Source organism: Homo sapiens, chromosome 9 (assembly GCF_000001405.40).
Source record: "Homo sapiens chromosome 9, GRCh38.p14 Primary Assembly".
NCBI classification, from domain to species: Eukaryota; Metazoa; Chordata; class Mammalia; order Primates; family Hominidae; genus Homo; species Homo sapiens.
In genome coordinates this window covers 14,808,495-14,827,497 of record NC_000009.12, presented here as the reverse complement: position 1 = coordinate 14,827,497, position 19,003 = coordinate 14,808,495, and the positions used below count along the sequence as shown (strand labels likewise).

Genomic DNA, 19,003 nt, shown 5'->3' with positions numbered 1-19,003 from the left:
TTCATTTCTGTCTTCTAGTATTTTACTATAAGAAGTCAAGAAAAGCCATGCAACGTGCTCAACTGTTTGCTTAGTTATTTCTTCCACCACGCATCCTACCTCATCCCTGCTCAGTTCTGCCTTACATAACGTGTTAGAACACAGGCACCATTTAGCCAAGTTCTTTGCCACTTTATAACAGGAAGATCTTTCTTCCAGTTTCCAATAAGATATTCCTCATTTCCATCTAAGACCTTATCAGAAGGGCCTTTACTGTTTGTATGTCTACCAATGTTCTGATTATGACCACTTAGGTAATCTCTAAGAAGATTGAGGTTCTTCTGTCTAGAGCACACCTCTTCTGAGCCCTCACCAGAATTGCCCTTTATGATCTATTCACAGCAATATAGGCTTTTTCTAGCCTACTTCTCCAAATTCTTCCAGTCTGTACGTACCCATTACCCAGTTCTAAAGCTACTTCCACATTTTCAGGTATTTCAGTACCTAACTCTGTCTTAGTCCATTTGTGCTGCTATGGCAAAATACCTGAGACTGGGTAATGTATAAATAATAGAAATTTATTTCTCACAGTTCTGGCAGCCGGGAAGTCCAAGACCAAGTTGCCAGCATGTTTTGTGTCTGATGAGGGCTGCTCTCTGCTTTCAAGATGGTGCCTCGTTGCTGTATACTCCAGAGGGAACAAATGCTGTGTCCTCACACAGCGAAAGGGATAGAAGATGAATTCATTCCCTCGAGCCCTTTTATAAGGCACAAGTTCATTCATGAGGGTAATTAGACCCTCATGAATTCAACCTCATGGTCCAATCACTACTAATGGCCCTGCCTCTTACTAATCTTGTATTGGAAATTAAGTTTCAACTTAAATTCCAGAGAAAACACAAACATTCAAACCATACCAAGGGGTAAGTAAAATTCAGGAACAATTCCAACTGAAAAATTGGAGAAAGGTCTAAGAAGAGCCGTTAAGGGTGAGAAAGACTCAGGTTGCTGGATAAAACAGGAGGAAAGCATTCTAGAAGTGTGGTCAAGGACCAGTACATGGTCAGTCCATTGTGTATAATTAGAGTGTTGGATTGATGTTAAAAGGTAGTAAAAGATGTTGAAAGGTGGCTGGGTGGTGGCTCATGGCTGTAATCCCAGCACTTTGGGAGGCCAAGGAGGGCGGATCACTTGAAGTCAGGAGTTCGAGACCAGACTGGCCAACATGGTGAAACCCCATCTCTACTAAAAATACAAAAATTAGCTGGGTGTGATGGTGGAAGCCCGTAGCCCCAGCTACTCAGGAGGCTGAGGCAGGAGAATGGTGTGAACCTGGGAGTGGAGCTTGCAGTGAGCTGAGATCGCACCACTGCACTCCAGCCTGTGTGACAGTGTGAGACTCCTCAAAAAAAAAAAAAAAGGTTGAGAAAGAGTGTATATTGAAAGTCTTGGATGCCATGCTAAGGAGTTTGGATATTCTATAAATAATTCCACACTTTCTGAGAAGTTGTTTTAAGATTTTTGAAGGGGTAAATTAACTTATTTCATTTGTACTTTTTTGAAGATAACACGAGGTATGAAAAGTCTAGATTAGCTCTTGGATTTAGGGCTAACAGGCAGCAGTTGCAATAATGTAAGGATGAAATTATGAAAGGTAGGCCAGTAGCAATGGGAATGACACTTGGGCGTGGGATGTGGAGTATGGTCACTGCATAGGAAATTTTATAAGTAGAAAGTCTGGGACTTGGTGATGTGTTATATGTGGGTGGAGAAGGAGGAACCAAAATTCATGTCAAGGTTTCTAAGATTGATGACTGAATATAGGGAAGTATTAAAGAAAGCACAGGTTGTTGGTAGAAGAGAGATGTAAAAATAAAACCAGGAACATATTTTGTGTTTTATGTGCCCATTCTGTAGCACTCATGACTGGATTCACTATAATTGTGGTATATATATATATATATATATATACACACACACACATATATATATATATGTATGTATATATATACTTTTTTTTTTTTTTTTTTGAAATGGAGTCTCATTCTTGTCATCCAGGCTGGAGTGCAATGGCGTGATCTCAGCCCACTGCAACCTCCTCCTCCAGGATTCAAGTGATTCTCCTGCCTCAGCCTGCCGAGTAGCTGGGATTGCAGGCACCCATCACCACACCCAACTAATTTTTGAATTTTTCGTAGAGACGGGGTTTCACTATGTTGGCCAGGCTGTTCTCGAACTCCTGATTTCAGGTGATCTGCCCACCTCGGCCTTCCAAAGTGCTGAGATTACAGGGGTGACCCCCTGCACCTGGCCTGTGATAATAATATTCTTAAAATATAATATTAAATGAGTAGAGGATTTCCATTTTTTGGCTCATATTCTTAATAGCTCCTGAATCATTTGACAGAAGTATATTATAAATGACAGTTTTAGAAATTATCTTAACTGTGACTAGGTGATTGTGGGGCATTTTCTTTGTTGTTTTTTTGGTATTTCAAATTAATGGTACAGACATTTTTATTCCAGGTGGCAACAATCCATATAACTCCAGTGGATGACCAGCTTCCAAAAGAGGCTCCTGGAGTTTCTCGGCATTTGGTTGTCAAGGAAACTGAGGTGGCCTATATAACTAAGAAACAGCTACATTTTATAGATTCAGAATCATATGACAGGGAGCTGGTCTACACAATAACTACTCCTCCATTTTTCTCCTTCAGCCACAGGTATCTGAAAAGTCACCATTTGGGCTACTAGTTCTAGGATTGCAAAGTTGAAAGTGTCAATATAGAGCAATATATATATATATAGTACTGTGGTTTACTTGCTCCATTGGTCAGGCATGAAATTATACTCAATTAAGCGTTTACTTTTTTCTCAAACAACTTCCTATCTCCCTTTGAAAGCTGTATTAGTTGGTAAGTGATCTGCAGCTTGTAGTGTCTTCAGCATTGGTAGGCTTAAAACAGTCTTTAATCCACTTTTTGAAAGACAATGCTTATTTTTCTTTTAGTACAATTTATTGAGGTCTTCCTAACATTAGTTTTGCATATTACTGCCATGAAATCGTTACATTCTATGATCTCAATCTAGAAAAATGGCATGAATATACGTTATGCTAGTATCGTATGCATGAGAGCAAGAAACCATTTTTAACATGAGTGTAACAATTCCCTTACATGATGCCAAGCAAAAGATTCTGTACATACCTTTTGCAGTCATGACAAGGATGATGTTGATGAAACTGGACTTAATGCTAGAATCTCCCAACATAAAGAGAGAATATAAAGATAGAGCACCCAATTTCTTCTCACAATGAAGTCTTTCAGTTTTTGATTGTGGGCTATTCGATTTCATTTTTCTTACCTAAAAATGAGCTGATGTGCTCCTCTGTATTTCTCTTTAGACACTTGGATGCTGGGAAATTATTTATGGTGGACAGCATACCAAAAGTAGTTAAGAATCCTACGGCCCTGGAGCTGAGGTCATTCACTCAGGTATGAGGATATGCTAAAATGCTGACAAACATGATGCAAGTGTGCCCTTAGAAGGTATGGCATGCCTAGTATTGTGCCTGAGAATGTTGGTCTTTGACATCCACAAAGACTTGACATCTTTATACTTGCTACTTGTATGTTTCCATTAAGTGTGTGGCATCTATTTCAAAGTACTTGATCAAGTTGAATATGGTTTCACAATCTTTTCAGTAATTTTACTGAAAACAGACTTTTGTATTGTTTTGCCATCAGCAGGACTCTAGTTTGGGTATCTGGTGTATACGTTTTTATTCCACAAAATTCAGTTTATTCAGTATCTTACTGTATTAGTTTCCAAGGGCTGACAACAATATACCATGAACTGGGTGGTTTAAAATAAACTGCCAGGACATAAAGGACTATGAGCTTTATTTTCTCATAGTCCTGGAGGCTAGAAGTCTTAAATCAAGGTGTTGGCAGGGCCATGCTCCTTCTGAAACCCTGTAGGAGAATTCTTCCTTGCTTCTATTAGTTTGATGCAAAAGTTATTGCAGTTTTTGCCATTGAAGTAAAAATAGAGCTTTTGGTAATCTTCAAAGTGATGATGGTGGCATTTACAGTGTTCAATATCAATTAACATGATGGTTCTCTTGGACCTCTAAAAGCTTTTGATCCTTGCAAGTCAGCACCCACATATCCATCTCAACTTACTTTGCAGCATGCTGTGAACTATATGAAAGTGGCCTACATGCCCCCCATGCAAGACATTGGTCCCCATTGCAGAGATGTCCAGTTCACATTTTCTGTCAGTAACCAACATGGCGGTACTTTGCATGGGATCTGCTTTAACATTACAATCCTCCCAGTGGACAATCAAGTTCCTGAGGTATGTACAATGTTCTATATAGAGGATGAAAAGGAGGAAAAGAAAGGAGAGACTTGAAGACCTACTAGAAATGGTAACTTTCCTTTAGGCTAGTTTTTTAAACTTATAAAAGAAATTTCCATCTATGGTGTAGTAAAAAAAAGAAGAAAAAAGCAGGGAGAAGGGAGTCTTTTACTCCCATGGGACTTTCTATGTAAAAGGTGAGATTTTTCAGCTACTAAATTTAACATTATTTTCAAAGCTTTATCAAATTCTTTTTCACTTCCTCTTCTTTCTGCTGAGTTTCACGTGTTGATCAAGGGAAGGGGATTAAATTATGGGTCTCTTAGCCACTGGAAGGGCTTATTTACCCTCACTGCAGCCCAACTATGCTGCTCTGTAATCTAAAGAAGCTCTTTAATTTTCCAAAATGAATCAAGATGGACCCTTCTGTCATACTTTGCCCCACTGCCCTGTGTTTGTGTAAGCCTGAAAGGACTTGGGTCTTTTCATTAAAACCGAACTACAAAGGCATTGCTACCTTGTGCATTTTTTCTGGGAAGCTGGGATTTGCATTGAGAGTATGTCCCATACCTACCCGGTTCCCCTGCCCACCTTCACAATGCTAGGCTTAATTAGTATGGTCATTATTATTCTTATTATTTCCCTTAAAAGCAGGAAGACAAAATAGCATTACCCATTCATTATCAACCAGAAGGGACCAGAGCCTACACATGCCTCATCCTTAAGGAAAGAGGTCACTTTCCCGGGTGCCTACTTGGACTATAGCCTGCACTGGCGTTCTCTTTCCTGACTCCTCATCATCTCTATACCTGCCCAAGGTTGTGGGGCAGAGGTCTTACCCTGAGGGCCTAAAAGGGCTGCCCAACCTGCAGAAGTTTTGATGGGTGTATTAGTCTGTTCTCACGCTGCTAATAAAGACATACCCGAGACTGGGTAATTTACAAAGGAAAGGGGTTTAATGAATTCACAGTTTCACGTGGCTAGGGAAGCCTCACAACCATGGCAGAAGGGGGATGAGGAGCAAAGTCACGTCTTACATGGTGGCAGGCAAGAGAACTTGTGCAGGGAACTCTCATTTATAAAACCATCAGATCTTGTGAGATGTATTCACTACCATGAGAATACTATGGGGGAAACTGCCCCTATGATTCAGTTATCTCCACCTGGCCCCATCCTTGACACATGGGGATTATTACAATTCAAGGTGAGATTTGGGTAGGGACATGGCCAAACCACGTGAAGAGGTCAAAACAATATATGAAAATAATGAATTGCCAACATTTAAAGATCAGAAGATTTTCCATCAAGGCTGATTCCTAGCTTCCCTTGAAACTCTGGCAGATCTAATAAAATTTAACCCGCACACCCTACAGCAGCCATTGCATAGGGCGTGCTCTCCAGACCATCTAAGCCCCCATCCAACTCACCACACTTATTTCTATCACTGGCCTGACCTCCCACACCTGTGGACTTGCCATCTTTGGTAGAAAACCTGCCAAAGGGCTCACACGGAGGATTTTAAACTAACTCCATTCTTTGACACCTTTCCTATCAGGGACCAGATCATATTCCCGGTGGTGAAATAGTTTAGAATGCTTATGGAGTCAACTTGATTAGATTTTATTCAGACCATTCTTTTCTATGTATGAGATACAGGCCATCAAATAGCCTAGCACTAAAGAAGCCAAAGTTTTCTCTAAAACAATCATGGAGAAATGCTCCTTTATGCAAAGTTATTCAAGCCTCTTGATGGAGAATGATGATCTGAGAAGGAAACTAAAAAGTGTAAAGGAAAAAAGTTAATTTCACTGAATAGTTTTGAGGAGTTGAGGAAAGAATGGCAGGGTAGCTTCTCTTTTTTTTTATTTTTACTTTTTACAGTATATGGGGCAAATGAAATAGTCCCTCAAAAAGCTGAGGATATTAGAAACAAAATTAAATTAGCAGCTTCAGTGAGACCCACCACAGGAGTTGATCCCTTATGTAGAATTCCTGCAGAGAGCTGGCCAAGTGATAACCACGGGAGGATGTTGACACCATGCTAACCTGAGTCCCAGAAACCTGAGCACTGGATCTGGGCAAGAATTAAAAAGCTAATGACTAATGAGTCGGGGGAAATTAGCCTTATGCTTTTATTTTTTTGAAAGTTGCCCTAAAATATATATTTAAAAAATCACCTAATGTAGCAAAGCATATTCCTTGAAACATTGGAAATTGAAGATTCCATATTGGGATACTAATTCAATACAGCTCAGAAAAATGAGGTTGGCAAGCATGGACCTTTGTTCGAAGACAACACTCCTCTCTGAGTAAGAGCTCCCTCTCTTTCTTTCTCCTACAAACAGTGAAAATATAGGTTTAGCAAAGTGAAAGTGAGACACTTGGGAGAGGTCAGGGTGGGGGTAGTTGTAGGGAGAGAAGTCTATGTTTTTGCATTGGTAGTTGATTAAAGAATAGAAGGCAGTGGTCTCAGAATTGTAGGTCTCATAATTTCCATGATGCAAGGGGCTGCCCTTGTGGCACCATGAATGCCCCAGGTGGCTGTGGCCTGGAGTTGGTACCAGCACTGTGCCGTGGTGTCCAGAAGGACACAGCAGGCTCTTGAGCAGAGGCTGCAGCTTCACTTGCTTCCTTCCCTTTCCTCTTCCAATTTGTTGTCATCCTCCTTTACCAGCTCTTTCTTCAGGGAACATCCTCCCTGCTGGGACCAGCAGCTGCTCTGAGAAGAGTAGGTGCTTCCTAGGAGAACTGCTGCATCCTCCCATGGACAGGGCACCTTACTAGACCACCTGGGAGGGGTCCTCAGAGCCCGTGATTTGGTACCCCACTGTATCTGCTTGCTTTCACTTCTGCGTAGCAATACAAGCGTGGGGGTAATGATAGGTTAAACAAAGTTAGCAGGTTTTCCTCCTGCAGGATCTCAGAGCCTTGAATATGCTTATGTCCCTTATAAACCTCCATGGTAAGGATATTTTATGTAACTTTTTTCTAGACTTATTTGGCCATAGAACACTTATTGCTCCCTCCCAATGAGGTGATAAAATATCCCAAGCCATTCAACTTGCTTTTAACTTACAAATGAATTATTAGTCGAGCAGTGAGTTTTTCTATTATAGCAAATTATCTTTGTGGCTTTAATATTTAAGTCTAATGTTTGAATAAATCTATTTCCTCTGGAATCTTCAATTTTGCCACACTACTTCCATTTCTAAAATATTCACTGTGACTGAAGTTCTAAAGCTCCAATCCATTTCCCAAGCCTTTAAGAATTTTTAGGATGAAAAGTAGATGAAACCTTTCCTTCAGGGGAATTTGACATAGATTTTGTGTATTTTTTAGACTAAGCTGTATGTGTATTGAACAGTGATGGGAATGGACCTGAGGATGAAAATTATTATTTCCTCAGTTTAGCAGCACAGATAGTAATGATTGCCAATTCTACTATACAGGCTATGCAATAAATGAAAAGTAGATACTTTCAATCTTAGAGATCTGCCTTGTTTCCTTGTAACACATTAATGCTTAGAATTAGAAATAGTAAAAAAAAATTTTTCAGTCAAAATGTCTAGCTATGAACTTATCCTCTTACCACATTCTTGAAAAATTAGTTTGCATGTGAAGATAATACTGGAAGTTTTACAGTGATGTAATGAGCTCTGTCTTCAGGGGTCATGGAAAAAGGCTTTGAATGTTTCCTTCCTTTCTTCTTTCTAGGCGTTCACCAACCCTCTGAAAGTGACTGAGGGAGGTCAAAGCATCATCAGCACAGAGCACATTCTAATTTCTGATGCAGATACCAAGCTGGACAATATTGACCTCTCCCTGCGGGAATTGCCTCTGCACGGAAGGGTGGAGCTGAATGGATTTCCTCTAAATTCAGGGGGCACATTTTCTTGGGGCGATCTCCATACCTTAAAAGTTAGGTTAGAACATTTCATGGTTTTTTTATTTACATGCTTTAGTTTCTTATCTAGATCAGTTGTGAGGCAGAGTAAGAGAAAGAAGTTTGTCCAATTTCTTAAAGGATACCAACATGCCACTTAACACACTCAACGGGTCAGTTGAAAATTACAAATGATCAATTTTTCCTTTCCCTCCAGACATTTTATTTCCATCTGACTTGCTATACCAGTGGAAATAACTTTATGGATATTTGAACAATAAAAATTTAATTGCCGTGAATATTAAATTGGCAGTAACTGCACATATCACAGGAGGTAATAGTCAAACTAGATAAAGAGAGACTGAAATAATCTGTGAGGCTAATGTACATAATTGAACTTGTGTCCCAGAGAAGCAAATTTCATAACCCAGAAACTCTGGGATAGAACTCTGTTGATCAATGTCCTTAATGTAACCTTATTCCGTTCTACTAGGGCAGGGATCTGCAGGCAAACAAGCAGGGTGAGCTGAGTAGGCAGGGCGTAAACTAATACTTGAGTCTCCAACAGGGATGGCACAATCCCTGGCCTCATGGTCCTAGAGAAACTGCCCTTACCTGAAGGTCTTTCATTTCCTCTACCTAATGCAGTTCTGTAAGAAACTTTCCTACAAAATCTAGTGAAACAACTTCTCTGGAAAACAATACAAGCTATTCAAAAGCAATGGTCGGGTAGACCCACACACTCACTTCTCACCTGTAAATTCAAGCTATAAATGGGAGCATTAGCCCTTTAGATAAAGTATGATAGGAGATATTATACATCAGATGCTTAGCTCTGCACTTGACTAGAAAGTTGACCAGAAACTAAGATTTGTACAGAAGAAGATGAGTTTAATCCTGACAGTTTAGTTCCACCATTGATTTACAGTCCACGATATCTTGATCTTTGCACTCGCACTCCTATCCTTGTTAAAAAAATGTTTTTTGAGATTTCAGCTCTCAGCTGTCTGTTAGATAGAGAGCCCTGTTTAGGTAATTCTTGCTACGGAGTGAATGATGGATAAACAGTACCAATATTTGCTAGAACTATCTGTTCAAGCATACTGTCAGAGGCTTACAATTATGGTTTTTGAAAATTTAATCTGCATAGTAATCAAGTCTGACAAGGTATCCATTCTCATATTTTAATTGAAGAACTAAGCACAAAGAGATTGAGGAATTTGCCCAAGTTCATTCAGCTAGTATATGGAGGGGTCAGATTTTGAAAGAATATCTGTTTGACTCCAGTCATCCTTTGGATGTGTACTCTTAGGGCCATTTGATCCTTTTAGGGATTTTAGCATAGTAAAATAGAATTAGTAAAAAAGAATTATCACTCACCAATATAGTTTTGATGAAAATTGCAGGGAGCATGGCAAAATAAAGCATAGCGGGTAGTGCGTGAGAGGATCATGGAGGGTGGGGAGGATGTGGGACTTCCCCACCATAGGAAGGGAATCCTCAACCTCAGTTCCTACCCTGCCTATGGGTGAAACTAGTCCTCAGTAAAATACCTTTCAGCTCTGACTTTTTCCCCATAGTTAAAGATTATACATGTTCAATATATTATATTATTTTTTAATACAACTTTTATTTTCCATTCCTAGGACTCATTGATATGTTTAAAATTTGGCTCAATTCACTTCAGCAGCTCCTTAGAACTTTCCAAGCATCACTGCAATGGGCTGGAGAGTATGTGGAGGGCCTATAATTAGACAATGCCTTCAAGAAATGTGGCTGAGAATTAGTGGAAGATAGGGCTAAGGCTAGACAAAGGAAAGGTATTTTTTAAGTCTAAGAGATTTAAGAATTTATATAGATTGAGAGGAAGATAGCTAGTCAATGGAAGAGGAGAAATGACAGGAAAGAGGCAATACATAATTCATTGATCAAGGTTTTAGAGAAAAGCTGAATAGATCCAGAGCACAGGCGGAAGGATTAGCCTAGCCTTAGAAGTAGAAAAGGGGAGAAAAAGATCAAATCCACAGTGTCCCACTTTTCCTCATCTACTGCTCAGTCTGAGGGTTCTCCTGGCCCTAGTCAGTGTATTCTGCAAGCGTACAGACCTATACCAAATGGTTCCTGTTGTCACAGTGGCATTTGAAGGGCTGCTTTTTAATTTGAGGACAAATTAGAAATGCATATAACACATTTTTCCAGGGTGGAGCAATTTTACATTCAAGGATGTATGAGTAGTTAAATATGTGACTTCAGGATTATGCTGGGTTTTTGTTGTTGTTGTTGTTGCTATTTATTTATTTAGTGAACACATGGCCAAAGCCTTGGAAGAGCTCATGTATCATGCATCTCAATTTACTCTCACACTGTTCCTAAGAGGTTGGTGACAAATATTATCCCCACAGGTATCAACATGATGGAACTGAAGTTCTTCAGGATGACCTACTCTTGGAGGTCACCGATGGCACAAATTCAGCAGAATTTGTACTACATGTTGAGGTGGGTAGAAAGTTTCTTCCCTGGGTTATTGTCTTAGTCTGTTTTGTGCTGCCATAACACAATACTACAGACTGGGTAATTTATAATGAAAAGAAATTTATTTGGCTCATGACTCTGGAGGCTGGGAAGTCTAAGATTGGGTAGCTGCATCCAGTGAGGGCCTTCTTGCTGCATCACCCTATGATGGAAGGGCAGAAAAAGAGCAAGAGGGAGCCAGACACTGAGCTATGAGCCTTTTATGATCAGCATTAATCCATTCATGAGGGTGGAGCCCTCATGACCTATAAACCTCCCACCTCCCAACACTGTTGCAAGTTTTCAATGCATGCTTTTCTGGGGACACATTAAAATCATAGCAATCATACAGACATAGAGGATCTTGTTGGAAAACTCTCAGGTCCTGACAGAACTTGAAACCTACGGCCTCCAAAGTGAGAGGATACCTGCTTCGATCCTTGTATGTCTCAGGCCTGCCAATAGAAACCAAAGTTGTAATGATGAAGTAGTAGTACTATGCTATTGTCTCTCTCTAATCTATTTAGAGGTAGAATTACTCTGACTTCAAACATAGATATTTAATTTTAAAAGTAATTTATTCTATGTATAAATTATTTCTAATATCTTTGAACTATAAAACTCAGAAATATTTGTTTAGCAGTGGGGCAGGTTAGGCTAGTATCACTGGGGTTTTCCTGTTTACAGATAAAGCCATGTATATGTGTGTGTGGTGCCTCTTTGTGAGTTCCTGTACCATATAGTCCTAGCATGAGGATTTAATCATATTTCCCCCTCTTGACAAATGAAAAATCTGCACATAAAATTCGAGTGCAGAGCGGGCAAGGTGGCTCACACCTGTAATCCCAGCACTTTGGGATGCCAAAGCAGGCTGATCACTTGAGGTCAGGATTTCAAGACCACCCTGTCCAAAATGGCGAAACCCTGTCTCTATTAAAAATACAAAAATTATCTGGGCATAGTGGCTTGCACCTGTAGTCCCAGCTACTTGGGAGGCTGAGGCAGGAGAATCGCTTGAACCTGGGAGACAGAGGTTGCAGTGAGCCGAGATCATGCCACTGCACTCCAGCCTGGGCAACAGAGCGAGACTCTGACTCAAAAAAAACAATTTGAATGCATGCCCAAGGGACTTACAGGAACCCCCTGAATTTCTTTGTTGAGTGGCATGCAAGTCCAAGAGCATAACTCAGAGGATTTGCAGGTATTTATAGTTGGTAACAAAAGAAGGTCTGAAGAAAAATATACCATGTTCCCTGAAGAGCCACTAATTATTTTCATTGTTCTAGATTATTTTTCTTTCTGTTGGAATTTTTCAGATCTTTGTGATATGAACTCATTACTATATTGGTAATAATGTCTTTGTAAGATATTTTAGTAACTAATAAAGGATGTTCACATCTATAATTTTAAGAAGCAGTGAAGGAGTTATCCCCATTTTATAGCTAAGGATATTTAGGTACAAGAAGGTTCAATGACTTGCCCAAAATCATTGACTAGACAGTGTAGTCTTGGGCTGGCATCTCCACTCTTTGTTACCTAGGTCAGTGTTCTTTCCTCCTCACCCTGCCACACTTCTACATCACTAGGTGATTATAATGATCATACTGGCCAGTAGTTCCTGTGCACCTCTCTATGCCAGGAACAAGGCAATCTCTTCCTTTCGTTTTCCCACTTAGTCCTCATAATGGCCTTTGGGATCTGAATAAAGAGCAGTATGTTATTGCAGCTTCAAAAAGGACAGTTTTCTTTGTTGGCAGACTTACAGAGAGACAAAACTTTCTGAGTTACTTTTTTTGTCTGAAAAGCAAATTTGTGGGGAAAAAACCCCAACCCTATCTTCCATCCATGACAATAGGCAGTGCATTTTGGGAAAACAATCTGTTTATTGTTTCTTTTTAAACACAAGAGGATGGTCTTTAAAAGCCAAACAGAGGCACAGCCAATTTTTTGACAAGTGTTTGTGATTTTTTTTTTACCCAGAAGGAATATTCTTAATTCTATTGCCTTTGGACTTTATTATTCATTTGAAAGCTGAGACTCTTTTGTGAACGGCTGCAAGATGGTCATCACTGAATTTGTTGGTGATATTCCTCAGGGTCAAGAACAATACTGGAGAAGGTCTTAAATGAATTCACTCAGGGGACTTGAACAAAGATGGTTTTTTCTTAATAAGCCAATAGAAAAGTAGAGAATATTATAGGCTTTTAAAGTCTTTAAATAACTAGCCTGGAGCTTTTGTTACCCATTCCTCTATCCATTAAATTTCATGTATATTTGTTTTAGAGTTTTAGCCTGTTTAAATAACAAGGTAGTCAGGACACATATACATAGTTGCATTCACTCATTCATTTATTCAGCAAATATTTAATAAGTGCTTTCTTTGCCAAGCCTTAGGCCAGATATTTAGAATATGATGATGAACAAGACAAACAAAGTCACTGTTCTTCTAGAGGTCACAGGCCAGGGATGAAGACAGGCATTAAACAGATTATCACCAAGATAATTAATTGATTAAAATTTAGATGGTTCTATACGTAAATAGGATGCTAAAATAGAGTAAATAATAGAAGCCCCTAAATTAGCTGAATAGTTAAGGAAGGATTTCCTGAGGAATCCCCATGTAACCTGAAGGAGGAGTTAACCAAGCAAAGAGTTGGGGACAGAATTCCCAGGGGGAAGAGACGTGGGCAGTGGGGAGAGAGATGATGCAGAGACCCTGTGATGGTGGGGAATGTGTGTCGGGATAAAACTGGAGTGGAGTGGCAAAGGCACCCCATAGCATGGGATAAGGCCAGAGAAATACTAGCAGAATCAATGGGAAGCCACTGAAGGTCTCCGAAAGGCAGTGACTTAAAGTCCACACGTTAAAAAGATCACTTTGGCTGAGCATTAGGGAAGAAGGTGTAGGGTTGAGAGGATTCACAGGGCAGACGTGGCAGCCTTGCAGCACACACCAAGTTGTGGCTGTGAACTCAGAGGGGGGTTGTCCTCACTCCCTTTTAGAAGATATGCTTTTCCAGATTTCTACACGATCTTTTTAAATTTAGAGTGCCAGCGTGATCCCATGTCGCTTTTCTTTCCTTTTTACTTGGAGTTTTATTTTCGTGAAAGTGAGAGAAAAACATTTTGTCGGGATGAAACCTGGCATTGATTGAATAGTTACGGAGTTTCATATTTAACTCAAACTGTTTGAAATGCAGCTGCTGCTTATTATAAGTCCAGAGAAACTTCCTGGGTGGCAGGAAGTTGAGGGTGGAGGAAAGCTTTGTAATCACCAAGTAATTTGAAACAAAAATAACTTTGATGCAGTAAATGAAAATGCCTTGGACCACAAGGACCAGAATTCTTCTGGAATATGTGTGAGTTTAATGAAAGAGGATAGGGGCTTTGGTGAAGAATGCCTTATATTACATTTGTATTTTTTCTGTCTAGAAACAAATGAGAGTTTTGAGTCCTGAACCATAACCATATTCCCCCATTCCTACCTAAAATGTCTGTCACATGGGGCATTTCTTGCAAGATGGTTTACATGGGAAAAGTTAAAAGACACAGATTACTTGGCCAAATTTCACGGCTGTTGTTTCATGTGTCTGTAAGATGAAAATGCCTGTCATTCTGACTATGAGCAATGGATTACCTGTCAAAGAATTTGTCATTTCTTTCTTTTTCTGAAAACATGCATTTTTTCCATTGCCTAGGTATTCCCTGTCAACGATGAGCCACCAGTCTTAAAGGCTGACCTCATGCCTGTCATGAATTGCTCAGAGGGAGGAGAGGTGGTCATCACCTCTGAATACATTTTTGCTACTGATGTGGACAGCGATAACTTGAAGTTGATGTTTGTGATTGCTCGCGAACCTCAGCATGGGGTGGTGAGGAGAGCTGGAGTCACAGTGGATCAGTTCTCTCAGAGAGATGTTATCTCAGAGGCCGTGACATACAAACACACAGGTAAGCAGCAGCATGGTGACCAGTGAGGGAATGCAAGCAACATGAGAGTCTCCACTCCTCAGTGTGGGCTCCCATAATCAAACAGTCAGAATGGTTACTTCCATTAAAAACAAGAAGCAGCTGCAGCCTGGCCTCCATTTTTCCAGCATGATCACCATATATGGAAGTATTTCTGATTGTGTTATTATAACGAATTTCAAACAGCGGAGAAAGGCAGATATTACTTGCTTTGTTCCTGACGCTACCACACAGACCTTCCATTCACCCTATGATTCTCCTTAGCGTTTTTGGTCAGTTTGATCATCGTAGTTGGTGGGTCTATAAATCATGACAGAAATGCCTGAAGCAAGCTCCTAAGGTAATTACATTATTAATTTGCAAAGCTTACTGATCACCACCTAGCTCCTAAGAAGCAACTGGTCTGCTTTTTGAGTTCCTGAAAAGTAACGATAATGTCTTACCCAGTATATGACTTGCCCACAGCAAATGACAGCGTGAACACAGGTTAGATGTACAGAAAATGTTCATTTATTAGCACTGCAGTTACATTTTTGGCATTGCTTTATGTTGTCACCCAGGTGGCATTTGTTCCACTAAAAAATATTAATTCAACATCTGATATCTGTAACTTATAGCACTAAGCACTGTGGGGTACACAGGAATATGACCTAGACCCTGCTATGAAAGACTTTGAACTTAAATGGGTAGACAAAACCCATTTGCATGCAAAGATGACAGTGTGACTGACACTGACACACTGCACATCATCACATCATCTCACCTTGCACATCTTCTGAGGTCTGGGTTGGGGAAACTTCCTTGGTAACAATGCTGCATATTTCATCTGCTGGCTTTTGCTGTACTGTAGTGCAATTTCCTGTCTACTCATCCATATGCCTCTTTAAACTGCAAGTTCCAATGCAGGAAGTATGATCAAGTATGTAAGGCCAGGTGAGTGGTATAGGAAATAAGAACTTTCAGAATTCAAATCATTTTCTTATTTGAAGAGATTCAAGCAGTGAGGCATGAAATAAATTCAAGGAGGAGGGATGGAGATAGCAAAGGATTAATTCAGAAATGGGAGAAAACATTCTGAAATAATATTTGTCCTATATACTTTGGAAAACAGTGATTTATTGGAACACCAGATGTCTCGGGACATTTTAATCACTTCACCAGACATCTTTTTTCTTTAAATGGTATCTCTCTATCCTCTTATCTGTGTTTAGTCTTAGGAAAGCTTTCCTGGGTGATTACCTTGTCCTGAGGAGCGTAGTTCGTATGTTTGATGTCCCTCAGGAGTTCACCACTAGGTACTCATTTTTGATTTCCCCAGTGGATCTGAAATAGACTGGCAGAAAAGGGATCCAAAGACCAATGATTGTTATTTATTGCTTAATTATTTAACATCTCTGGCAGGCTCATGCAGCACAGGTAAATTAGGGGTGAGAAGAATCTGTCTTCTTTTCCAGTGCCTTGTTCTAAGTGCTAAACAACAGGTATACAAATTTCTAAATCTCCTGTAGTGTAGCAGCCATAGACGGGACTATTAACTAATTTTTTTTAAAATAAAACCCAGTAGGACATTGGGGCAAATTATTTCAAATAGACGGCTTTTGGTTATGTTACTAAGTTAGAAGGAATACTCGATTCAAAGGGTATTTTGGTATTTGAATGTTAACGTTTTCTTGTAATGATTACTCACTTATTCAATTGGTAGTTACCCAGCCCTGGGCTGAGATCAGGATAAAGAATCACAGCATTGTAGGATCTGAGGTTTCAGTGAGTTTTCTGGCCCTTCTCTTGCTTCTACGTGTTGATTTAGAGGCCACCTAAGAATAATTTTATTAGCATTACTTTATTTGCTTTCTATAAGTATAAAAATAATACACACTCATTGCAGAAAACTTGGAAGGAATGGAAAAGTACAATGAAGTTTTTAAAAATCACCTTATTACATATCTAAAAGAGTCACTGTTCACATTTCAGTATTATAGTATTTTATTCTCTTTATTCTGGCCATAATTTTAACATAGTTGCAATTATGTTGTAACATATGCAGCTTTGCAGATTACTTTTATCATTTAGATTATCACCTGAAATGTTTATTAAAATATATATTAAATGTTAGAAAGTTATTATAAAGATGTTTTAGTAATAGAATAACATCTTACTATATGAAAGTCCATTAATAATTTGCTATTCCCCAATTAACATTATCTGGTCCCAGCTACTTGGAGGCTGAGGTAGGAGGATCGCTTGAGCCCAGGAGGTGGAACCTAGAGTAAGCCAAGATCATGCCACTGCACTCCAACCTGGGCAGCAGAGTGAGACCCTGTCTTCCCTCAAATTTTTTTTTAATAACACTATGATTAACATTTTTAAGTACCAATCATGTCCTTAGGCTATATTCCATTTCAAGGTAAAGAATTTCACTACCTATGTTGTAGGCTTTTTAGTGGCTTAATATTTGGCCTGCTTTCCCAGCTATTTCTGTAAATATATCCTATGCTTCCATTATAGAGAAATTGTGGTTACTCAATTTGCAATTTGCCTTCTCTGTTTTTAAAGCTGTCTTCTCTTTCTAGAGTGACTTTTCATTTCTCTCCCCCATTGCCTCTCCCTACAGATCTTCTATCCCATCTGTCCCAATGTTCTACCTTATCTGCTTGGCAAACTCTTACTCATCCTTTAATGCTCAGCACAAAGCCAGCAAAGGCATCTGGAAACTTTGCTGACTTTCCTTGGCACGTATGCCCTGCCCCTACGCCATTGTCAGCTAAAACTCATCTTCTTTCACCCTCAGCACCTTGCACACGATCAGGCCGGAATACATAAAATTGCCATTTAACAGGTAAAAAATGGTTTAATAGTAGCAATTTCATGTGATTCTACATAATACATACATACATACATACATACATACATACATCTGTGCTATTCTAACCACACTGCATTTCCTTCTCTACCATTAGACAGTATCGGTGCCTGACGCATAGTGTGGTCTTTTGACATTTGACATTCTTTTGAAATGTCTTTTGAAAGTTCCAAAATGTGTGCCTTTTTCTCTGCTGGTGTGCTGGAAACACTAATTATCACACAGTAGGTGTTGAATAAATATTTACTGAGTGAATTACTAATGAACACATTTTTAAGCCAGTTTGCATTTTAGATATATGAATAGGTGAGAGGTCTCTTATTTTTGACTCTTTCTCACATTGACGGCTGATTGTTTCTTTCTAATTCTCTCAACTTCAATTCGGTTTTTCCTTTTAAGCCCAGTTTTCTCATCCTTTGAACACTTGGTTGCTCAATAATATAATCTCTAGATTTTCCTTGTCATTTTTAAACGGGAAATAATGGCAACCACAGAGCTCTGCAGATTTGACCAGAGTGTCTGCTGAAAAGGGAGGATGTCCCTGATCTTTTGTACCCTAGGTTCATCAAAACTCCAAGCATTAATTCCTCCCTGTATTAGTCCATTTTGAGGCTGCTGATAAAGACATACCCGAAATTGGGCAATTTACAAAAGAAAGAGGTTTAATGGACTTACAGTTCCATGTGGCTGGGAAGCCTCATGATCATGGCAGAAGGCAAGGAGGAGCAAGTCACCTCTTACATGGATGGCAGCAAGCAAAGAGAGCTTGTGCAGGGAAACTCCCATTTTTAAAACCATTGGATCTCATGAGACTCATTCACTATCATGAGAAAAGCGCAGGAAAGACCTGCCCCCATAAATTCAGTCACCTCCCACTGGGTTCCTCTCACGAAATGTGGGAATTGTGGGAGTTACAATTCAAGATGAGATTTGAGCGGGGGAACAACCAAACCGTATCACTGCCTTCTTGAGATTTTCATGGTGATGCATGAGAATTACCAACAGCACATGTGCAAAACTTTTCTGTGTCCTGGATAGCAAGCACTCTTACTCCACGCTCTTAGTGGGTAACCCAAGAGCAGATTGCCCTGTTGCTGATAAACTGTCTAATCCTGACATTTTGTTCCTTCTTCCTGTCACTGTCTAAACTGGGGACATTTTGAATCCTACAGATGTAAGACCTAAACAGTGAAAAGAAGAAAATGAAAATAAATGCCTCTTCTTTTCCACAGACTGTTGCTATTTTTAAAAACATCCTGGCTAATATATAATAAGAAGAATATTGAAAGAAATGGCAAAAATGTGGCCTACTTTTGTATTTCACCTATTCAACATCCTCGTTTCTCATAACTGCTCTGTGGTTGATGGTTGTTCATTTAAGGTGGTTAATGTAAATGGAAAGACACTTACCAAAGGGAAAAGGTTGCCTTCTCCCTCTC

At 39.6% G+C, this 19,003-nt stretch overlaps 1 protein-coding gene across 31 annotated transcripts in view, besides 1 other annotated feature; it reads left to right on the top strand.

Annotated features, from left to right (window-relative positions):
- The window catches only part of FREM1 (FRAS1 related extracellular matrix 1), a 173,844-nt gene that overhangs the window by 83,498 nt on the left and 71,343 nt on the right, over positions 1-19,003 (top strand). For 30 of the 31 annotated variants that reach the window (NR_163238.2, NM_144966.7, XM_047422844.1 and 27 more), the window contains 6 exons: positions 2,506-2,702; positions 3,383-3,473; positions 4,171-4,338; positions 8,056-8,264; positions 10,627-10,720; positions 14,434-14,686. Coding sequence is in view for 29 of the 31 variants with exons in the window: in NM_144966.7 (NP_659403.4) it covers positions 2,506-2,702; positions 3,383-3,473; positions 4,171-4,338; positions 8,056-8,264; positions 10,627-10,720; positions 14,434-14,686 (1,012 nt within the window). In the remaining 2 variants the exon portion in view is untranslated. The remainder of the gene's footprint in view (positions 1-2,505; positions 2,703-3,382; positions 3,474-4,170; positions 4,339-8,055; positions 8,265-10,626; positions 10,721-14,433; positions 14,687-19,003) is intronic. The other variant, NR_163239.2, reaches the window with a different exon arrangement.
- Positions 13,767-14,966: an enhancer, noted in NCBI's record as "P300/CBP strongly-dependent group 1 enhancer chr9:14812530-14813729 (GRCh37/hg19 assembly coordinates)". NCBI's record gives its function as "activates an origin of replication core promoter dependent on BRD2, BRD4, P300/CBP, MED14 and CDK7 cofactors, with strong dependence on P300/CBP, by STARR-seq in HCT116 cells {active_cell/tissue: HCT116}" and the evidence as "EXISTENCE:reporter gene assay evidence [ECO:0000049][PMID:35650434]".